Here is a 24171-nt window from a genome sequence, read left to right as displayed (position 1 = left end):
ACTTTTGGGCAGGTGCTCACCGGAAACCAATGAACTATGGCCAACACAATGTACCTTGATCATAGGAACTGCCACTTCCAAGGCTGTTGAGGGGGGAGGTTCTTAAGAAAATGTTGTAGATAATGCCAATAGAACATCATTATCTCTAACAGTCTATAACAATCTGTAATTGTTATAGACAGCATCATTGCCTGTAACAATGAAAGATTTGGAATAAGCACTAGCTCTACCAGTAGAAGGTTAAGAATTGGTGGGACAACGTATGGGATAATATGTAGCCGTTTAAAATTATGATATAGCCCTATCTTTATTGACTCTGAAAAATGTTCATTAAAAGTGTTTATTGGCCATGGTGGGTCACGCCTGTAATCCCAGCACTTTGGGAGGCCGAGGCGGGTGGATCACCTGAGGTCAGGAGTTTGAGACCAGCTTGGACAACATGGTGAAAACCCATCTCTACTAAAAATACAAAAAATTAGCCGGGTGTGGTGGTGTGTGCCTGTAATTCCAGCTACTCAGGAGGCTGAGGCAGGAGAATCGCTTGAACACGGAGACAGAGGTTGCAGTGAGCTGAGATCATGCCATTGCACTCCAGCCTGGGCAACAGAGCAAGACTATGTCTCAAAAAAAAAAAAAAAGTGTTTAGTGCATGTCCTTTCAGAAACACACACACACACACACAATACATATACATTTGTATTTGTATGCATATATGTATAAATGTATTTCTCAAGGGATATACATCAAAATGTTAACAGTTGGCCAGATGCTGTGCTGTAACCCCAGCACTTTGGGAAGGGGAGGTGGGAGGACCGCTTGAGCCCAAGAGATCAAGACTAGCTTGGGCAACATAAAGAAACCTCTTGTCTTTTTTTTTTTTTTGAGACAGAGTTCTTCCTTCGTCACCCAGGCTGGAGTACAGTGGTGCAATCTTACCTCACTGCAACCTCTTCCTCCAGGGTTCAAGTGATTCTCCTGCCTCAGCCTCCCAAGTAGCTGGGATTACAGGTGCTCGCCACCACACCTACCTAATTTTGGTATTTTCTAGTAGGACAGGGTTTTGCCGTGTTGGCCGGGCTGGTCTTGAACTCCTGACCTCAGGTGATCCACCTTCCTCGGCCTCCCAAAGTGCTGGGATTACAGGCATGAGCCACTGCACCCAGCCAACCTTGTGTCTTTTTTTAAAAAGTTAACAGTGGTAATCTTTGGTTAGTGGGGTTACGGTTAGTTTGTTGTTGTTTTGCTTATCTGTATTTCCTGATTTATTTTTTTTACAGTGAACAATGGATTATCTGTATATTAAAAATTATTTTAAAGGAAATAAAGTCTGGAAGGGTAGATGCAAAATGTTTTCTTATCTGTACTTTTTTCTACAATGAACAAAGCATTATTAGTATAATTTCAAAAAGTTAATTTGAAATAAGTAATAGGGTATATAAAGTCCTGGTTTTAAGTTAAAAAATCAATTATTTTCCAAAAGTCTATTTTAAAAATAGAGCATAGGAGAGAGTGGGCTTAGAAAAAGTTTATTTTTATAAGCCCTGGAGATCTTGATTGACTTATTTAGGCCAACAGTAAGTTTGCAGTTAAGAAATCTAGTGCCTGGTTAAGGTATTATGTCAAGAAATATTGTGTCCTTTTTAAGAGGTTATTGTCAGTGTAGTCTGCACGGATTGGAACACACCTGGAAAAGTTGTTCATTTTGGCTCCTTTCTTTAAATGGAACAAACTAAGTGGAGCGGCTAAAGGGAGCCAGCATGGTCACAGGCTATATAGTGTGAAGATGACCAGCCTGAGGAGAAGGAACTTGTGGAAATGTGACAGCCAGCTGTCAATATGGGAAAGGATATTGTCGGGAGTAGTGGTCAAAGAGTAGAATTTATTAGAAAGCACACTTCACTTAGGTCAACAGAGGGGAGAACTTTCTCTTTGCATTTTCCCTCAGTGAATGGGCCTCTTTACAGAGTGGCAGAGACTGGGGAACAGTGTTTCTTTGTTGGGAGAAAAATTAGATGGCAGGAGCTCTAAGGTCTTTCTGCCTGTGAGACTGAATTGACCCAAAGAAAAATAGATCTTGGATGGGCACAGTGGCTCACGCCTGTAATCTCAGCACTTTGGGAGGCTGAGGTGGGAGGATCACTTGAGCCCAGGAATTCAAGACAAGCCTTCCTGGGCAACATAGTGAGACCCCCATCTCTACAAAAAAAAAAAGAAAAAAATCAGTCTGGCATGGTGGGGTGTGCCTGTGGTCCCAGCTACTCAGGAGGCTGAGGTGAGAGGATCGCTTGAACCTGGAAGGTTGAGGTTGCCAAGAGGCCGAGAGTCATAATTGTGTCACTGCACTCCAGCCTGGGTGATAGAGGGAGACCCTGTCCCCCTCCAAAAAAAAAAAAAAAACAAAGAAAAGAAAAGAAAAATAGATCTTGTTCACATATAAAACATGAGACTAAATTAAGCTTGGATTAAAAATTTTGCCTGTCATTTTCACTTTGAGTTTGCTACCAAACTCTGAAACTTTCAATGTTTGAAGTTTACTTAAGTTGCATTTTGTATTGAGAAGTAAACTTCAGTCTTCAGTGTCTTGTTGTCTTACACAGAGGGAGTTTAATGAGGGGCTGTCTAAATGCACTAAACCATATGCTATCTGGGTGTTCAAGGAAAGGCTAAATGAATAACCCACAAAACTAAGTAGCATCTGATGGTTAAGGGCACAACTGCCTGGGTTTGAATCCTGTCTCTATGCCTTAAGTTCCTTACTGCAAAAATGGCTGTGATAAGACCAGCCATACATAGGCTTCTTTTGAGCTTGAGAACATGGCCTTCATTATGCATTTCACCTATATACTCCTTGAGGGCACCTAGTTATTCAGTAAATCATTGGTAAATGAGTGATTGAATAAATAAATGAAAATACAAAAGTCCTTTACCTGACCTTGGGTACATTGATCTGAGCTTATTGAATGTAGAAGTGACACTTTATACTTTGATGCTAAATTCAGTTTATCTTACATCCCACTCTGCCCTCTATGTTCTGCCTAATTTAACCATCTGCTTTCTGAGGAATATGATTTCTTTCTTTTTATTAATTTTTTTTAATTGAGTTGGAGTCTCGCTCTGTCGCCCAGGCTGGAGTGCAGTGGTGTGATCTCAGCTCACTGCAACCTCCACCTCCTGGGTTCAAGTGACTCTCCTGCCTCAGCCTCCTGAGTAGCTGGGATTACAGCTGCGTGCCACCATGCCCGGCTAATTTTTATATTTTTAGTAGAGACATGGTTTCGCCATGTTGGCCAGGCTGGTCTCGAACTCCTGACCTCAAGTGATCCGCCCACCTCGGCCTCCCAAAGTGCTGGGATTACAAGTGTGAGCCACCGTGCCTGGCCCTATTTTTTTTTTAATTTTTAAAATTTATTATTATTATTTTTGAGACGGAGTTTTGCTGTTGTTGCCCAGGCTGGAGTGCAATGGTGTGATCTCTGCTCACTGCAACCTCCGCCTCCCGGGTTCAAGTGATTCTTCTGCCTCAGCCTACCAAGTAGCTAGGATTACAGGTGTGCACCATCATGCCTGGCTAATTTTGTATTTTTAGTAGAGATGGGGTTTCACTGTGTTGATCAGGCTGGTCTTGAACTCCTGACTCACCTCAGCCTCCCAAAGTGCTGGGATTACAGGCATGAACCACTGCATCTGGCCTTAATTTTTTTTAGAGACAGGGTCTTGCTCTGTTGCCCAGGCTGGTTTTGAACTCCTGGTCTCAAGCAATCCTCCTGCCTTGGCCTCCCAAAGTGTTGGGATTATAGGTGTGAGCCACTTCACCTGGCAGAAATATGATTCTTAAATTAGGATTAATTTTTGGAGCCTTGTTTTAGAAATGATTTATTTTTTATGAATGAGATATGACTGTCTGAGAATACTTGGATGTGATGACTTGAATAATTTATGTGTTGGGCCTCTGAGAGTATAAAGTTCATACCAGAATATTTTTGGGAAGAATTTGGTTGAAATTGCTAGATTTTTTTAAAGGTACAAGATAATTATGATTGTATTCCCTCTCAGATATTGAATTCTTTCTTTCTATGGTTTTCTAGAGAATGAAGATCTAGAAAACAAGGATACCTCTTTATTGGCTTCTGCCACCGATCCAGAACCCTGCTCCTCACCCCACAGGTAACCACTTTGGATAGAATGCTTTCACAGGTTTTATCTTCTGAGATGAGGAACTGGTGAAAGAAATAGGTAGTGACTTTAAGCGGGGAGGCAAGTTAAAGTAAAGAATGTGGGCCGGGCGCAGTGGCTCACGCCTGTAATCCCAGCACTTTGGGAGGCCAAGGCGGGTGGATCACGAGGTCAGGAGATCGAGACCATCCTGGCTAGCACAGTGAAACCCCGTCTCTACTAAAAATCCAAAAAAAAAAAAAAAAAAAAAAATTAGCGGGGCGTGGTGGCCAGACTACACGCCTGTAGTAGCTGGGACTACAGGCGCGCACCACCACGCCTGGCTAATTTTTGTATTTTTTAGTAGAGACGGGGTTTCATCATATTGGACAGGCTGGTCTCGAACTCCTGACCTTGTGATCCGCCCACCTCGGCCTCCCAAAGTGCTGGGATTACAGGCGTGAGCCACCGCGCCGGGCCAGGGATTTAATTTTTAACTTTTGTTTCTAACATTTGCTGAGTGAAGATAAAAATCCAGTGAATGTGATGCCTGAGGCTTACTTCTTATGCTTATGTGTCTATTGGAAATGGAAACGGCACAACTTTCTATCTTTTCTAGTGAGGCTGGCTTGCCGGCCAGGCTCTCCCCTTCCTTTGAGATGGCCTCCCTGCTCCAGGTCAGTACAAACCAGAAGCTTAAAGCGGAGGCTTTTCCTTTATGTGGCTTATCACCAGCATCAAATAATTTGAAATTAATCTTTCCCCAAATGCCCTTTTCTAATTCTCCAGAGCATAAAATGCTAATTGTGAATATTAAATTTATGTGGGTGGCACATATCCTGTTTAACATAATTTTATTATTTAATTATTTCTTGAGACAGAGTCTTGCTTTGTTGCCCAGGCTGGAGCACGGTAGGCAGTCATAACTCACTGCAGCCTCAAGCTCCTGGACCATGCAACCCTCCCATCTCAGCCTTGTGAGTAGCTAGGACCACAGGCATGAGCCACCACACCGAGCCTTAAAATATGTTTTTTAAATAAGCAGAACCATGTTTTTTCAGAGTAGCATGCACAAAGACAAAGAGACAATTTTAGATGTCACACACAGTAAGTCAAGCTAATGATTCAGATAGCCTGTTGTAGTCTCACCTTTCCAATATTATAAATGATAGTCTGATCCAGAATTTCTCTTTTATTCCCAGGCAAAAATTAACTTATTCATTTTTTATTCAACAAATATTTTGGGGCTAATATTTATTCAACAGATGTTTGTTGGGAGCCTACCATGTACCTGATACTGTTCTAGGTACTAAAGAAACCACAAATGAACAAAATAGTCCATCACTGCTCTCAGGGAGCTTATGTTCTAGTGGGGGAAGTGGACAGAAAACAATTACACATCATACTTCACAGACTCTTAAGTTGCCGTCAACTGTAAGTTGTGCTTTCACGTCCCACCAAGAGAGGAAGAAATGCTTAAGATGGATCATCTAATAGACCCCCCATATGCAACTGGGATACCAAAAACCTGCACCTTCAGTGAAAATATAAAGACAAAAATCCCCCACACAGAAAAGGACAGCAAGGAAGCTTGATTGTCTCAAACTTGACACTGTGTCATAGGAGGAAAAAATATCTCCCCTGAGAATAGGAACCACCAGTTGGTATTAGCCAGTGTCTTGTCTAAATTCACTCTGCCAGGAGGATTAAACAAAACCCTAAACAGAGAACTTAATTTCAAGAAGTCTCAGATTGGTAGCATTCCTAAGTACTGGCAGAAGCAAATGCAAATCTCTCGTGGAAAGAGTTGATGTCAATCCAGGCCCACGGCACTTTTAAGATATCATCAATTTTTAAGACATCCTATCTTTCAGTTGTGTTAAAATCTAAAAGCCAGTGTGCATCTTGCAATCAACAAAATATGCTCCATATCATGTCAGGCAGTAATAGGTGCAGTGAAGAAAAATGAAGCTGGGTAAGGGCAGAAACAGTGACAAGGCCAGGAAGGGGCACACATTTTATATACAGACCTCTGAGAAACCTCTCAGCAGAAAACCTGCAGGAAGGAAGTCTTCAGTTAACTAAAGAAGAGTTAATGTCCTAGAAGAGTATTCTAGGCAGAGATTACAGCAAATGCAAAAGCTCTCAAGTGGGAGAGTACTTGGGGTGTTTGAGGACTATCAAGGATTGAAGAGGCTGTTGTGGCTGGAGGGACCAGGGCAGAGTGAGGATTCTGAGAGGTGAGGTCAGAGTGCAAAGGGCCTTAGGGCTGGGCGAGGTGGCTCACGCCTGTAATCCCAGCACTTTGGGAGGCAGAGGCGGGTGGATCATCTGAGGTCAGAAGTTTGAGACCACCCTGGCCAACATGGTGAAACCCCGTCTCTATTAAAAATACAAAAAATTAGCCAGGCATGGTGGTGCACACCTGTAGTCCCAGCTACTCAGGAGGCTGAGGCAAGAGAATTGCTTGAACCAGGGAGGCAGAGTTGCAGTGAGCCGAGATCCGAGATCATGCCACTACACCCCAGCTTGGGCGACAGAGCAAGACTCTGTCTCCAAAAAAAAAAAAAAAAAAAAAGGGCCTTAGAGTTCCAGGTGGCAGGCTTGGTTCCCAGTGCTGTGCATACAGAGGCAGTGAGACCCAGTGCCTGCCACCAAGCTTACTTTCTAGTAGAGGAGGCAGATGATACACAGTGTCAAGAAACAGAAATGGACTATAATTTCTGGGTTGAAGAGCATTAAAATAGACCCACAGCCTAGGCCAGTTTACAGCTTACACTGAATTACCCAAGTGAACCTATAAAGATCAACAGAATCCCACAGCTCTGATTCTTGGAGTGACCTCCTCTTGTCTGTCCTGAGGTAGGTTGGAGTAATTTTGGATATTCCAAAAGATGGCTCTGTTTTATCTGAAGGAGTGATTCTTCTTGTTTATGTTAAAAAAGAAAAGAAACAAACTAATAAACTCTAAAATGAAGCCTCCGTTTCCCCCATGAGGTGTATACTACCATTTTCCAGTCATTTACTCAACCTCTTTGAGGAAATGATGCCCTCAAGCAGGGATTCTCAGACCTTTATACTCTTAAAAATTATTAAGGACCCAAAGAATTTTTGTTTGTGTGGGTTATATCTATCAATATTTACTATATTAGAAATTAAAACAGCCGGGCGCGGTGGCTCATGCCTGTAATCCCAGCACTTTGGGAGGCCAAGGTGGGTGGATCACGAGGTCAGGAGATCGAGACCATCCTGGCTAACATGGTGAAACCACGTCTCTACTAAAAATACAAAAAAATTAGCTGGGTGTGGTGGCCGGCGCCTGTAGTCCCAGCTACTCGGGAGGGTGAGGCAGGAGAACGGAGTGAACCCGGGAGGCGGAGCTTGAGTGAGCTGAGATCGCGCCACTGCACTCCAGCCTGGGCGACAGAGTGAGACTCCGTCTCAAAAAAAAAAAGAAATTAAAACTGAAAAATTAGAATATGGTTATTTGTTCATTTAAAAATAATAACTCATGACATGCTATATATAAAACATGTTTTTACTTAAAAACAACTAATTTTCAAAGCAAAGAATGTAGTACAAAGAGAGACATAAATCTCTTTAATGTTTGGCTTAATAAAAGGCAGTTGGATTCTCAGCTCTGCTTCTGAGTTCATTCTATTGCGGTATCACATGTCATATAGTCTCTGGAAAATTCCACTGCACACTCTTGAGAAAATGAGAATGAAAAAAGGGAAATAACATTTTAGTGTTATTATGAAACAGTTTGAACTTCATAGACTCCCCCGAAGGGCCCCTAGACCATACTTGGATAACTGCCATTCAAAAAAATCCATGTCACCTTTTATCAGCAACAGATTCCCAAAAGGCCTGGGTTATTTTGCTACAACCGTGGCACTAATTTTCTAGTTTTTGTGAGGCCAGGGGAAATGGAAGAGAGCATAAATCATTCCCTTGCATCTTTATAATCAACTATTCATGGCTGAGCACGGTGGCTCACGCCTGTAATCCTAGTACTTTGGGAGGCCGAGGCAGGCAGATCACCTGAGGTCGGGAGTTCAAGACCAGCCTGACCAACAACATGGAGAAACACTGTCTCTACTAAAAATACAAAATTAGCCGGGTGTCGTGGCACATGCCTGTGATCCCAGCTACTCGGGAGGCTGAGGCAGGAGAATTGCTTGAGGTTGTGGTGAGATGCATCACTGGTGCACTCTGCCAAAAAACAAACAACTATTCACATAGCTGTGTTTGAAGCCATTGGGATTGTTGATTAATGTGCTTTAAAAAGGAGAGAAAGTGATGACCCCTAGCACTGAACGGGGACAGGGTATGAAACGGATCTGCTGAAAGACTGCCTCAGGGATAACTGCAGAGAGGGTTGCCTTGATCATCATTTTGTACTTTGTTTTGGTGCCCAGTCTCCCTTAGGCAGACCTCCTCCTTTTGCTTCTAGCCAGTGGCTTTGTGTGTAGAACTGAACTGAGATTCTACCAATTCCTCGGTTAAAATTCTGTGGGCCCTGTGGGCCGCAGAGTGAGGAATAACATTGGAACTCACAGAAGCCGAGGGCAGGATGGTGGTTAATAGGTGTTGGGGCCAGGGGGTGGGATGGGGAGATGTTGGTCAAGTGGTATAAGGTGTTAGAAGGAGGAACAAGTTCTGGAGATCTTTGTACAACATGGTGACAATAGTTAATAACAATGTATACTTGAAAATTGCTAAGACAGTAGATTTTAAATGTTCTCACCACAAAAAGGAGTATGTGAGGGGATGGATATGTTAATTAGCTCAATTTAATCATTTTACAATGTGTACATATATCAAAACAGCACATTGTACACCATAAATATATACACTTTGTCAACTAAAATAAATAAATAAAAGAAACAACAATGACAAAAAAAAAAAAAAAAAAAAAAAACCAGACCAGCAGTCCATCTCAGATGATGGAGCTGTGTGTTTTCCATGGTTCTCCTAGCCTTTGACCTGGCCTTGTTAGTCTTTGTTTTCACACTGTCAACACTTTACTGTGGACCAATTCAGCCCTGGGCAGTGGTCGGCTAAGGTGACAGTAGAGCTAAATAAATGCCAGGGGCAGGTGGGGCAGGGGGTATCTCGAATGTTGTTTTATTTCAAAGTTTCTCCAGGATGATTGAGTCTTTTCAAAGAGTCCTTGAATTAACATGCTCTCTTCCTCTGAGAGGCCACAGATGGTATCTCCAGTGAGTAAGGATGCCACGGAAGATCTGCGGAAAGCAACTGGTCCTTTGGAGGCTCAGGCCTTGGTGAAACAGGATTTGCTGCCTGCAGACCAGGCCCAGGTCCTCAATGAGGTAGGGGGCAGATTCTGGCTCTTTCTTATGAAAGGAGGCACCAGAATGTGGACACATAGTGGTTGGGTTGGAATTAGAAAGCACTGCGAGGGTGGCTCCCGGAATTCTCTCTTTGCCCTCTAATTTAGGGCATCTTGGTCTTCATTATTTTTTGGAGAATGATTATTTGTATCTTCCACAGGGCCCATCATTGTACTGGCACCCAGTAGGCACCGATTCAGAAAACGAAGTGTTAGAGTGAATGTTCATGTGTTCTCTAAAATCCTCTTCATTGAGGAGCCTGAAGTCATTGGACTATTTTGCTCTTACTTTTCTTGTGGTAGATCTATTTAGTATTTATGATAAAGATTCCACAGAAGCTTTTTTTTTTTTTTTTTTTTGAGACAGGGTCTCCCTCTGTCGCCCAGGCTGGAGTGCAGTGGCACGATCTTGGCTCACTGCAACCTCCACCTCCTGGGTTCAAGTGATTGTCCCACCTCGCCTCCCGAGTAGCTGGGATTACAGGCACATGCCACCACACCCGGCTAATTTTTGTATTTTTAGTAGAGGCAGGGCTTCACCATATTGGTCAGGCTAATCTCGAACTCCTGACCTCAGGTGATCCACCCGCCTTGACCTCCCAAAGTGCTATGATTACAGATGTGAGCCACTGTGCCTGGCCTTGATTTTTTTTTTTTTTTTTTTTTTTTGAGACAAAGGTCTCACTCTGTCACCCGGCTTCAGTGCGATGGTGCAGTCATGGCTCACTGCAGCCTCAAAATCCTGGGCTCGAGTGATCCTCCTGCCTCAGCCTTCCAAGTAGCTGTATGGAAGTGATGGTGTAGTGGTGCCCCTGCCATGGAGGGATGGGGGCGGGATGGGGTTGTTTCTATCATTTATTAGCATATGTGTTAGAATAATGGTTGGTATTAGTGTCAATGAAGACACCACCAGGCGTTATAATTAGATTTGTATAATACTTTACAGTTTACAAGCATTTGTATCTGTAACACTTCATTTACTCCTGAGAACAACCTTGTCAGATAGGTGCCATTGTGTCTCCATTTAAGAAATGAGGAAACTGGCTGGGCCCGGTGGCTCATGCCTGTAATCCCAGCACTTTGGGAGGCCGAGGCAGGCAGATCACTTGAGGTCAGGGGTTCGAGACCAGCCTGACCAACATGGAAAAACCCCATCTCTACTAAAAATACAAAATTAGCTGGGCGTGTTGGCAGGTGTCTGTAATCCCAGCTACTCGGGAGGCTGAGGCAGGAGAATTGCTTGAACCTGGGAGGTGGAGGTTGCAGTGAGCTGAGATCGTGCCATTGCACTCCAGCCTGGGCAACAAGAGCAAAACTCTGTCTCAAAAGGAATGAAAGAAAGAAATGAGGAAACTGAGGCTGAGGGCTGTTAGAGACTTTACTAAGGCTATGTAGCTAATATGTTGCAACCTAATCCTTTATTTAGCATTTTAGAAAAGGAAGGATTTATTTAAGCACGCTAGCCAAAGTCTGATTCATTTCAGTTAGCAAAGGAGATGAGAACTGGAGGGCTTATTCTCCAGAAACAGATATTATGAGAATACAGCCTGGGAGGATTACAAACTTGATTTATTTATTTCTCACAAATACAATTCCAGCCTCTTAACTGGATTGCTGACTCACTGATGTGCTCTCCCCTGTGGGCAATAGGTATAGTTTTCTTGTTGAGTTGCCTGCCAACTGTTTGGAGAAGGGGCAGAAATTAAGGTATAATAGCATGAAACCAGGAACACTAATCTGAGTGATTTGAAGGGAAACTCACCAGGGAGACATTGTAAGCTCCCGCATGGGTTAGTGAGGGCTTTGAGTATCAAATGCCATTTGCATTCTTCCATGTAAGTCAGACGTCTGGCAGCAAATGTACTGTTTAAATGCAAGTCCTGGGGCTGGTCTAAGGTGAAATTGTAACTATTGATAGAACACTGTTAGTGACTTCAAGACTGAGACAATCTGTAGCCCGAGGTGGGCTGTGGATGAGAGAGAAAGACTATAAACCAGATTCTGTCTCTGCAGTGCTTTGGAGAGCTGATTGACAGTAATGTAGAAGTAACCCTTGAGTGGGAATTGTAGCAGGAGGATGTGTGGCAGAGTGGGAGTCAAACTAAACCCTAGGAGCAAGAGCTATTAATGAGAGGAGCCACAGGGAGGTACTGTGCAGGTGAGGTAAGACCAAGGCATGGCCCAGAATCACAGTCAATGCAAATACTGTTAACAACCTGCGAGGGTGTTGGCGGACAAGGACCTTATAAAGGGTTTGGAGCAGGAAAGTTGCAAAAGGTAGGAAACAGTCTTTAAACAATGGAATATTTTGATGGCTTTAAAAAATTAGTAGAATTTATTAGCAACTTCTATTTGGAAGAAAGAGAAGGAACATTGACTAGTACATTAAGCTTTGAGTGGGGATAGTGGAGATAATAGAGCAGGGGTGGGGCAGCCTTCATGCAAAAAGAGATTAATTAGAATCTGCCACTCGAATACTCCTTTAACCAGAGTTCTGTTGTGCAGATGGCTAAGTATCAAGTTCCACAGAGGTCTGGGGACATCGTTATGATCCAGTCTGAACATACAGGAGCTATAGATGTTCTTTCAGCTGATTTGGAATCTGCAGATCTTCTGGGGGACCACAGGAAAGGTGAGACCTTTGGGAGTAAAGGAGGTGGTTTGTTTCCAGTAGATACTCAAAGAAAGGCAGGCAGACAGACAAATGGAAGGAAAGAAAATGACTTGTGAAAGGAAGTCAAGCCAGTAGAAAGAATGTCTGACTGTGCCAGCCTCTCTTAGCAAAATGCCCGGGGTACTCATGTTTCCTCATGGTTTCTCAGTGCTAAGCTGCTTGTCCTTTCAGTCTCCCCACCTCTGATGGCTCCTCCATGCATCTGGACCTTTGCCAAGGTGAAGGAATTCAAAAGCAAGCTGGGCAAAGAGAAGAACAGCCGTCTGGTGGTGAAGCGTGGTGAGGTGGTGACCATCCGGGTACCTACTCATCCAGAGGGGAAGCGTGTCTGCTGGGAGTTTGCGACCGATGACTATGACATTGGCTTTGGAGTTTATTTTGACTGGACCCCTGTAACTAGCACTGACATAACTGTGCAGGTCAGTGATTCCAGTGACGATGAGGATGAAGAAGAGGAAGAGGAGGAAGAGATTGAAGGTAAATTTAATTTTAACCTAATTTGCAGTTTTCTGGCTTAATCTGATTTCTGGTGACCATTTTGTGGGTTGTACCAGTCCTCCTCTTCCTTTGAATGCAGTTGAGAAACTCAGCATTACAAGCTAAGCTGAGTGGTACAGGCCAAAGAGAACATTCTGGTGGGGTTGATACTGCTGCCTTAATTGAAAGAAAGCCTCTTTTTCCTTATCGGTACCTCATTGTTTTCCCAACACCTTCCTGGGGGCAGGGATGGGGCAGGAGCAGAGAGAGGGTGAGTCATGCGGCAGTTTAGAGGGATGGTCATTCAGGTCGCATGTAAGCCAGAGATTATTTTACATCTCTCTCTTAGTTTGTAGATATTTATTCTTGGCCTGGAACCAAAGTGAGTGATTACAGTTTGCTAAAGGTATCCATTCTCTCCTTATCCCAAACTCTCATAGCTGGCTATTGGTTACTTCTTTACTTCATGCCCAGACAAGTTTTAAAAGGGTCTCCGGGCTCCATTCCGGCTGTTATTTGTAGTGTCTACACACTACACAAAGGATGGCCCAGAGGCATTTTTCAGATAACGTAAGAGTAGGTCCTAAGCATTAGTCTTATTCCTCTTATTCCTTGATTTTCTTATATAATCTTAAAGTCAGTCCTTTAACGTGCTTCTTCATAGAACAGCAAGCGGGCAGGGAAACCTACAGGTATCTGGGAAAGCGGAGAACCTTGTATCTTATTTGCTGCTTTTCAGGAATCCTAGGGTCACTTTATAGCACGTTTATCTGCAATTCCTATCTTCGTTAGCTAGTCCTTTCACCTACTAAATGATAGAATATCGGGATCTTTTCTTCTAAATATCTCTTTCTCCCTCTCAGAAATGTCCAGACACTTCTGAAGCTAGGAAGGCTCCTCTCAGGCTAAATCATTTTCTCAGTGGAGACATTATTGGCATTTGGGATGGGACATTGTTTGTTGTGTAGGTACTATCCTGATTTTAGCACTCCTGGACCCTTGGGTACTAAATGCAGATATCACCTAATAGTCACTGTGATGACCAAAAGATCACCAGACATTTCCAAATGTCTGTAGGAGGGCAATAATCTCCCCGCTCTGTGAAAGCCACTGGGTCACCTGGTCCTTCCGCTCACCTTCAGGCAGGACTTACGCAGTCTCTGAACACTTTGCCATTTTGCTCACGCAGAACCCGTTCCAGCTGGAGATGTGGAGAGAGGCTCCAGGAGCTCCTTGCGGGGTCGCTATGGGGAGGTCATGCCTGTGTACCGGCGGGACAGCCACCGAGACGTGCAGGCTGGCAGCCATGACTACCCTGGTGAGGGCATCTACCTGCTCAAGTTCGACAACTCCTACTCCCTGCTGCGCAACAAGACTCTCTACTTCCACATCTACTACACCAGCTGAAGGACTGCTGGGACAGGGGCAGGCTGTATTTGCTGGCTGAAGCAGGCTGCCAGCTGGTGCCTCTTGTTTGGGATAGGCAAGAGCCAAAGGTTCATGGGGGGCTGCTGAGCCTCACACCCTGTCTGGCATGCCTGACTGTTGGCCCACGTAGCTTTTTCCCCTTCTTGGCTTCTGCAGGTGGTGGTGTAGTGCCCCTGTTCTGTAGTCCCTGACTCATACCCTTCTTGCTTCAGACTCCAGCAAATTCCCTCTTGAAGGCACCTATGGGGCACAAGCCTAAAAGGAAGCAGGGCGATGTTTTTTAAAAATAGATTCATCTTGGCACAGGTTTATCATTCAGATTGCTGCCCTCTCCTCTCCCACAGCCCTTATTGCCAGTGCATTTAGTGGCACCCACTCTCTTCAGTTGTTGAGGTGCCAGAAGAGGGAAAAGCACATTGCCCATGAAGGAGCCCCATCTTTTGGTTGGAGAAAGCTCTATCCAGCCTGTCACCACTGCCATATTCCTGCCTGCTGGTTATTCTTGGTCTCTGCATAGCTGGGAGACCACACTGCCTTTGGAGGGCTATTACTATTCCTGATGGTAGACACCCCCTCCTTTCTCTTTCCTAAGTCTATGTTTTTGCCATTACAGCAAGAACATTCATGCAATCTCAAGTGATGATCAATGTAACCTAAGATCTTGTGGGAAGAAAAACTGCCCCCATTATTTCCTATTCCAAGAGCTGGTTTCCCTTACTATGGGCACTGGCAGTCAAAGTGGAGAGAGTGGAAATTAGGTACTGAATTGATGTCAGAACCCACATATTTGAAAGTCGTGTTACTTTTTTTTTTTTTTTTGGTATAATCAAAGAAGGAATGGTATCATCTGACAGAGAAGATGAAAAACAAAAAACACTCCAGAGTCCCCACCGCTTTTTTTTGTCTTTAGAGTAGGAGTGCTGTTTAGAAATGTTGCTTTGGAATCAAATGCAGTGAAACCCAATCAGGTTTCCAAAGTTTCTGCATTTAGCTTTCTTGCATTGAGGGCTTAAAGCTTTTGGTGTTCAAAGTCCCTTAGTTTAGGTGATAATGAAGCTTCACTATTGCTGCTGATTGTATTTGTTCTTTACCTGACCAAAGCTTGCATTTCCCTGGTGACAGCATTTCCTACTGTGTCACCCCTGAGGCTCAGGAGTGCCACAGAGTGCAGGTAGTGCTGCAGCCAGTGGTCACCAGAGCACCAGCTGCTGGGCCCCCAGGCGGAGGAGGAGACGGAGGTGAGATGGGACCTCAGCAGTCTCTGTGTTTGTACCTCCCTGTCTCTTACTCCTCGTGTTATGTCTGTTACTGCCTACGAATTCTGAAGAATAATTAGATTTATTTATTACTGTATTTATTTTTTTAGCACATTTCATTTTGCCTTTGAAACAGTTTCCATCTGTTTCTCAGAAGGCTTCCCATCTGTTCTGAGCCACTGAAGCCCCCTCTTTTATGGAGTTAAAGATGATATTTTTAGGAGAATTTGGGAAGCGATGATGTTTTATTTCTGTAGGTCAGTCCTGTGACGGCTTTGCGAGGAGTATGGCCCTTCAGAGATGGATGATGCCACCTTACTCCATGTTTGGGGTACAGTCCAGCACTCCCCATGAAAAATTCTAAGTTGTGAGGGAATCTGCCCATTTGCTGGAGATTGAGTGCAGAGGAATTCCCTAACCAATCAGAGATATCCCGTGATTCCAGGATTTCAGAGTCCTTTGTCTCCTCTGAGGTGTCACCTTCTTTGTGATGTTTCCTTTGACTCATTGTTAGATTCCTCACACCAAGGGTCTATCCCTACAGTAGCATAACTCAAGGAACGGGACTCTTCCCAGTGGGTCCCTAGTAGCATCTACATCACATCAAAGGGCAATATATCCTGCACCTGCTCTTCCCCTCGGAGCAAAGCCCCAAGTGGGATAGGATGTTGGGGACTGCCAGAGCATTCCCATTCTCTGAGCAGCATCATACCTCCATTATTTTATATTTGCAAATGTGTTTTGTAGAGGATTACACTGGCCAACATTTATATACCTTTAAAGAAATTATTTTAGTGACTGTCTGTTGAGGCAGTGAAGAGCTGATTTGCTGTGTGTCATCCCATTGGATAGCTGAGTGACCGCTCTTGCATCATTGAAGTTGAATCATGCCTTAGCTAACTGAATATAATCTTTGTAAAATAATTTTCTACTGAGCTGTTTTCTAGTCAGCTAAAGCCTTGCTTATTTTTCCTGTTTATTATTAACTTCTGCCTTTCTCTCAAATTGAAACAGTCAGGCCATACACAGCAAGCTCCCAAGGATAACACTTGTTATTATTTATTTTCACCATGAGATTCTCTGCTTATTTTCTTTGGAATCCTAGTTCTGTTGCATCAGGGAAGCCTAAGGGACTTGTTCCCCTCACCTCTGTGTGCCTCTTAGGGTCTGGTCACTTTTGAAGTCCTGGGCATGGTTACATTTCATTCATACTGGTTTTTCACCAACTGTCAGGGTTTCTGTGTTCCATTAGCACAAAATAGCTAAAAGAAGATATTTTCACTGTCTAATTCACTATTTTCATGTTACATTTCTGAAATAATTGAACTTTAGGGGCAAGATACTACTTACTGAAGCACAGGTAATTACTGAGAACCCACAGCCCAGCAAATTCTAAGAGACAGTCATTTCCTCAGCCCCTCCCAGTCCAAATTTATAGACCCAAACAATGAAATGAAAACCGTTTGCTTTGATCCTCACCCTGTTCTCTAGAGCACAAACAAATAGTAACAAACAATTGAAAGAAAGTGCTTCATAGTAGGAGAGAGATTGGAATTCTCTATAGTGACTGAGTTCTTAAATTTCTTTAGTTTTAGTTTTGCCACTTTGTTGAGAGATGGGCCTTTTAGAAAGGAAGACATATTTAAAGTATTGATTTCTTTTCCCCCAGTGTTTTATTGTGAAAAAATTTCAGCAAACAGCTTAAAAGAAATATAAATATATTGTAAACCAAAAAGTATCTGAGACAGGTCTCAATACATTTAGAGGTTTATTTTGCCAAGGTTCAGAGCCCATGATGGGGCCTCAGGAGGTTCTTAGAACATGTGCCCGAGGTAGTCGGGTTACAGTTTTATACATTTGAGGGAGACAGAAGGTCCAGGCAAAGCCATAAATCAATACATGTAAGGTATACACTGGTTTGGCCTGGAAAGGCAGGACATCTTGAAGATGGGGGTTTCCAGGTCAGAGGTAGATCAAAGAGTTCCTGACTGGCAGTTGGTTGAGAGAGTTAAACTTTACCTGAAAAGATGAAGTCAGCTTAAGTTAAAGTAAGGGAGGCTTGGCTTAAGTCATGTAGATGAAGCCTCCAGGTAGCAGGCTTCAGAGAGAACAGATGATGAATTTTTCTTTTTAGGCCTTAAAAGGTGTCAGACTCTCCAGAAAAGACCTAATAAGAGAAGGAGATTCTCTACAGAATGCAGTTTCCCCCACAAGAGACAGCTTTGTAGGGCCATTTCAAAATACGTCAAATAAATATATTGGGGGGTAAATTTCCTTTGGGGCCTGCTGTCATGTGATGCTATACCAGAGTCAGGTTGGGATTTGGTATTTTATTGCCACAAAGGGTCTGTTTGGTTAGTCTTAAGATCTCTGTTTTAATGTTAATGCTGGTCAGTTGTATTTAAATTCCAAAGGGAAGAGGGTAATATGAGGCACCCTGTAATCTGACCATAATATGAGGCACCCTGTCTTCCCATCATGGACTAGTTTTTCAGGTTCCTTTGAGATCCCCTGGGCCAAGACAGGGGTCCATTCAGCCGGTTGGGGGATTTAGAATTTATTTTTGGTTTGCTGTATATATATGTATACACACACTCCCCGCATAAATGTAAAAATTTTAAACTACCAATTCCTAGGCAAAGATGATTCTAACATTCTGTTCCTTTTGACAAGTGTCCAATTAGAGAATGCTGAGAATGTCCCCTGCATATCGGCTCTGTTGGAGAGCCCCTGATTTTTAGCAGACCTGTTTCATTCAACATGGGTTACCCAGGAGGTGGTCTTCATAAAAATGTTTCTTGGAGGCCAGGCGCCGTGGCCCACGCCTGTAATCCCAGCACTTTGGGAGGCCAAGGTGGGCAGACCACCTTAGGCCAGGAGTTCGAGACCAGCCTGGCCAACATAGTGAAACTCCGTCGCTACTAAAAATACAAAAAATTAGCTGGGCGTGGTGGCGGGCATCTGTAATCCCAGCTACTCTGGAGGCAGAAGCAGGGAGAATTTCTTGAGCCCAGGAGGCAGAGGTTGCAGCGAGCCGAGATCATGCCACTGCACTCCAGACTGGGCAACAGAGCAAGATTCCGTCTCAAAAAAAAAAAAATTGTTTCTTGGTCTCCATCTTTCAAGAAAATACATCTGTGCTGTATTTTCCCCTTCCCTCAGGCCATGATCTCTGCTGTTTTCCTTACTAACTGGCATGTCAGTACAAGAGTGATTGTGAAGCTGCTCCGGAAGGGCTTTATGCTAACCTCTGTTGCTTGATGACATGTCCTCAGGACTCTGATATTAAAACTCAATCCTTAGATAACAGGTAGCTTTATCATGGAAGTAGGTAGCAATTTGGAATTAGACCATTCTTAGTTATTTTTTTCTTAATGAATTGATACATGCACTTTAAAAAATATTTTTGTTATTTTGGGAAGAAAAACTCAGACTTTTAAAAAAGTGTATATTGTCCCATTATAATATGTATATGGAAGAGTGAAATCTGAACGCTGTCTTATATTAAGCAGTAGAATTAGGTATTATCATAAAAAGTCTTAATCTGTAGGGAATATGAGTTTATGTTTATGAGTCCTGCTCAGTCCCTCTTTGAGAGAATTAGTTGAAACCCAGACTCTAAAGTCTGCTTTTATATTTGTTTGTTAAGACCACTTATCTGCAGAAGGTTGCCTTTTAACCCCAGTGGTTCTAAGGTGTGGAATTGAGTGACCCTAATATTTACATAAGAGACTTGTTTTAGTGGAGCATAAGGGAGGGGCATAAGTTACACCGTTTTGTGCTGCTTGAGAACTGTCTTTTAAAATTGATCACAACGAGGGAAAACAAAATAAAATTAGGGGGCAAAGGGTAGGAGTATGGGGGGAGGGGAGAGCAAACCTATCGAATATATCTTAGAATTTTGCTCAGAAATCACTGCTGCCTCTCAAGTGTTGCATTGTCCCTGCCTAAACCAAGAAGGCTAAACAAAGCCCCTCCTGTTTGAATTCTTAAGGTAAGAAATTTCTAAGCTAAGAAAACACTATTGCCTAAAACCAATGATAGTGGAGCTCATTTACAAATAGGCATGCCTCACACACACAGTCCAAAGGCAAGACACTGGCTTTGAAATTAGGCTCATGATGTGATTCCTATTATATGTACCTGATTTTTTTAGGCCCCAGGTATGTGGACCAGAGTTAATGTCATGACTCTTCAAAGATATGATGAAAAGTTGCCCTAGAAATCTAGAGATGCATGTTTATTTAATTCCATAGTTTAAAAAAAAATTTAAGCAGGTAGTTGTGGCTTATCTGGGGGCAAAATAATATATGTGAAATTGCTTCCAGAGGACAAAGTATATTTTCTAAAGTCCTGAAATAGGATCATGAACCCTTCTGAAGTTTTGGTTTGAAATATTATAGTATATGATATTACCAAAGAGCCCTTAATTCAGAGTTTAAGGGGCTCTCTTCCTGAACTCTCTTCATCACTCAGGGTTGAATGTGTAATGTTCCTTGCTATTGATTGTTATTGTTGATTCTTAGGATCAGGCCAAGAATCATCTGGAAAACATTATCTTAATTCCGTCTCTCATATCCTAAACAGTACATTTTACTAAGAAATTCCATATGAAAAACTCCACTCATGTCTCCTGAGATTATCCTGTAAGTGAAGTAGCTTTCATTTAACCAAGCTAAATTATTTCCATTTAGCCATGTTAAAGAGAAGCCAAGTCTAGAGAAAGCAATCCTGTAACCCATGAATCTGGTGTACCCATTTTCCCTTAACGTAACGGGAAGTGTTTTGAAATTCCCAGAAGAGAGCTGTTTTGTAATCAAAGTGATGGATTATAAGAAAGCCAGACTTTGGAAAAGGATAATTGGAATAAAGGGAGGTGCTTGAAGATTTTCCAAACTACTTTATGTCATTTAGCTTCTATTTTCTGAAGGGCTTTCTTTGGTGCCATGTACTCAGATCAGTCAGTTGACTGAAAGATGATCATGTTTTCTTCGTAAAGATTTAAGCAATTGGCAACTACAAAGACATTATTTTCTTACTGTTCTATATCATGTACTGTTGCTGACATTACAAAAAGGGTCTGGAAGGGAAACCGTGTCACTGTTTTATCTTTTTTCTTTAAAATACAAAAGTATCCCAACTAATCATTTATTATGGTCAGCTTGTTTTACATGTCCCCTATCATGAGAAATGCTATCAACATCTGTGATTTCTAAGAGTCTTACCAAATTGTTACTTTAATTCTTGTGTCCTGCTGAGTGGTTTTTCTTTTAAAATACCATTTTTATCACCCTGTGGCACTGGGTGTGTTACTGCGATTACACTGATGATTCTGAGCTGTGCTTCTTCAAGTAGCTCAGTTCTTGCGTTTTATATTAGGTAACAGTTTTGTGATGCTTTTGTGCATTCTTTGTCATCTCTTCTGAGTTTTCGAATCTGTCATAAATAAACTTTTTCACTATGCACCTGGTAACATCTGAGTTATATTTTAATGAACCTGATTTACATTTTAAATTCTTTGTCTTTCATGTATCTTCCTTAAGAAAGGTATTCTATAAGCCCATATGAATTATTTCATAATCTATTAAGATTGTGAAAGTTAAGAAGAACTAAAAAGAAAAAAAATTGAGAATAAGATTAATAATAGATCTTTCATCTGCATTTAAATTCATGGCAGAGTATCATGACCTGGGAACTGGGAATGGAAAAACTGGGTTTATAGTGATGATTAATAAGTTCTGAGTTTTATGTCAGCATTTGGTCCCAGTGAGGCCTGTTTCCCCATGAAGATATTCTGTTCAAATTTGGAACCTCGACTTCGGATACCAGGCCAATCATTAACGTAATCTGGGTGATATGAATTCAGCCTATTTTCATTTACAAAAAGTGACACCATAATATATCTTTGCTGTCTTTTAAAACACTGCCTCTCCACATCCCTAGTGTCTGTTGCAGAATAAGGACTCACATCTGAGCAGGGAAGGGTGGCATTTAAATATTTCCTTCAGTGATATCTGTGATGCTAAAATGAACCTGTTAGATCATTCTCTGCTTTCTGTTGCAACATATTTTAGAGGTTGAAGCATGAAAGAGAAGGGATCTGAAACAATTCAGTTGAATGTAATCACCAAACTACCCTACAAGTAACAAAAAGCCCAGGCAGATTCCATGTAGCTGGAGATCATTAATGATTCATGTTTGGGTATGCTGGATGTAATATGTCACTGTGAACACATAATATATTTAAGATTATTATTATTTTTTGAGATGGAGTCTCACTTTGTCGCCAGGCTGGAGTGCAGTGGCATGATCTCGGCTTACTGCAACCTCCGCCTCCCTGGTTCAAGCAATTCTCCTGTCTCAGCCTCCTGAGTAGCTGGAATTACAGGCACATGCCACCACGCCCAGCTAATTTTTTGTATTTTAGTAGAGACAGGGTTTCACCATGTTACCCAGGCTGGTCTTGAACTCCTGAGCTCAGGCAATCCACCCGCCTCAGCCTCCCAAAGTGCTAGGATTACAGGTGTGAGCCACCGCACCTGGCCTTAAGATTATTTTTTAACTTTTAAAAGCATTCATATGTGTCATATCATTGACCTTGACATAGCTCAGGATTACAAAAGGCAGCTCACACATTACAGCTCTTGACATTCAGCCTTGATGTTCTTTAACCTGTGCACTTCTGGCTTAAACTCAGCAGCTATCCTTAGTTCAAAGTATTCTCTGAAAGTAGAATTGCTGTGACCTTGGAAGCAAGAGCTAAATAAGTTATGTTTAGAAGTAAGAGCTGGCCCAGCTACTTGGGAGGCTGAGGCGGGAGGATCAAGATCAGCCTGGGCAACACAGTGAGACTCCATCTCTAAAAAAATTTTTTTTAAATAAAATATCTAGGCCGGGCGTGGTGGCTCACACCTGTAATCCCAGCACTTTGGGAGACCGAGGCAGGTGGATCACAAGGTCAAGAGATCAAGACCATTCTGGCCAACATGGTGAAACCCTGTCTCTACTAAAAATACAAAAATTAGCTGGGTGTGGTGGCGTGGGCCTGCAGTCCCAGCTACTTGGGAGGCTGAGGCAGGAGAATCCCTTGAACCTGGGAGGCGGAGGTTGCAGTGAACCGAGATCGCTCCACTGCACTCCAGCCTGGCGAGAGAGTGAGACTCTGTCTCCAAAAAAAAAAAAAAAAACAAAAACAAAACACTAAAAGTTAGGAGGAGCCGTATCTTGGCCAGGCGTGGTGGCTCACGCCTGTAATCCCAGCACTTTGGGAGGCCGAAGTGGGCAGATCACCTGAGGTCAGGAGTTCGAGACCAGCTTAACCAACGCGCCTGTAATCCCAGTACTCGGGAGGCTGAGGCAGGAGAATCACTTGAACCCAGGAGGTGGAAAGTTGCAATGAACCTGAGCTCTTACCACTGCACTCCAGCCTGGGCATGACAGAGCAAGACTCCATCACAAAAAAAAAATAAATAAATAAAAATAAAAAAAAATAGTATGAGTATGTGTATCACCTGTTTATCCAGTAAGTTTGCCACTTTCCTTAATGGATATGTAAAATTTCTGAGGAACACAGCCTATAATTTTTGCTTTGTTCTCAGGTATTTCCTGATAGCACCTCCCTACTGCTTTCCTCCTCCTGAAGTATTTCTGGGGACTTGTTACTTCCATAGAGTTGGAATTACCAGTATCAGGCCCCTCCATCATTGTTCTTCCTTCACTGTGGCCACTCCCACTCTGGGAAGACCACGTACATATCTAGTCTCCCTGTGCCTCTAGCATATCAGGATCAGGTGTCTGCTGAGTGTGATATGGAAAGGAAGGACTTGACTTACCACTCATCCGTTTGAGAGAAGCCCCTACTGGAAAATGTCCTGTAAAAAGGTGATGGTCTTTGCTACGATTTAAATGTTTATGTCCCCTCTAAAATTCATGTTGAAACTTAATCTCCAATACAACAGTATTCAGAGGTGGGGCCTTCAAGAGGTAAAGCTCCTAAAAAGTCATCTCATTTCATCCCCAGAAGCTACCCCAATCTCTGTACGGCATCTCTGCCCAGAGGTGGTCCTGGTTCTGCCTGAACACTGCCAAGCATGGGAACTTGCTCCCTCCAGGGCAGCCTGTGGTACACTGCTACCTGCTTGGTCTCCTAAGCTGGCCTGGTCAGTAGCTGCTCACACTGCCCACGGGGGAGCCTGCCTCCCATTCCCAGCACCATCTGTGACTGGATTTACCCCGAGTGCCTAATCCTGGGACTGGTCTGGAGAATGCTGGCCCTGAAGACGAGGGACTGGTTGAGAGGGCCAAATGGCCTCTCAGTGCTGGAGTGGAATATGTTTTTTTTTTTTAGATGGAGTCTCACTCTATCTCCCAAGCTGGAGTGCACTGGTGCAATCTCGGCTCACTGCAACCTCCACCTCCCAGGTTCAAGCCATTCTCCCACCTCAGCTGGGACTACAGGCACCTGCCACTACACCCGGCTAATTTTTGTATTTTTAGTAGAGTCGGGGTTTCACCATGTTGGCCAGGCTGGTCTTGAACTCCTGACCTCAAGTGATCCACCTGCCTCGGCCTCCCAAAGTGCAGGGATTATAGGCATGAGCCACTGCGCCCAGCCTGGAGTGGAACATTTAACAACGGTACCATTCCTAGCCCTGAGAACTCAGCCAGTCACTAGATGCTTTCCTGCTTCTATCTGTTATCTCCCTGGATCTTGTCTGATTCTTTCAGGCAGGCTTTTGGGTATATTTCTCATCATTGCCCTTAGGTCCCATGGGCCAGGCCTGCCACAGGGTAGGCAAGTGGCTGACTGACTTCCTCTACTGGTCCAG

General features: G+C 43.1%; 1 protein-coding gene across 5 annotated transcripts in view; it reads left to right on the top strand.

The window, feature by feature from the left end:
* TMED8 (transmembrane p24 trafficking protein family member 8) overlaps positions 1-20816 on the top strand; it is a 42074-nt gene extending 21258 nt beyond the window's left edge. The window contains exons 2-6 of one of the 5 annotated variants that reach the window (NM_001346134.1): positions 4086-4164; positions 9359-9488; positions 12014-12140; positions 12354-12659; positions 13849-20816. In NM_001346134.1, the coding sequence (NP_001333063.1) occupies positions 9366-9488; positions 12014-12140; positions 12354-12659; positions 13849-14066 (774 nt within the window). In that variant the 5' untranslated portion in view covers positions 4086-4164; positions 9359-9365 and the 3' untranslated portion in view covers positions 14067-20816. Of the gene's footprint in view, positions 1-4085; positions 4165-9356; positions 9489-11998; positions 12141-12353; positions 12660-13848 lie in introns of all 5 variants that reach the window. The other 4 variants (XM_017021224.2, NM_213601.3, NM_001346131.2 and 1 more) reach the window with 4 other exon arrangements.
* Positions 20817-24171: the final 3355 nt, after the last annotated feature.

The sequence above is a fragment of the Homo sapiens genome, chromosome 14 (genome assembly GCF_000001405.40).
Source record: "Homo sapiens chromosome 14, GRCh38.p14 Primary Assembly".
Classification (NCBI taxonomy): Eukaryota; Metazoa; Chordata; class Mammalia; order Primates; family Hominidae; genus Homo; species Homo sapiens.
Note: the sequence above shows the minus strand (reverse complement) of the source record. Positions and strands in the feature narration are given on the sequence as shown.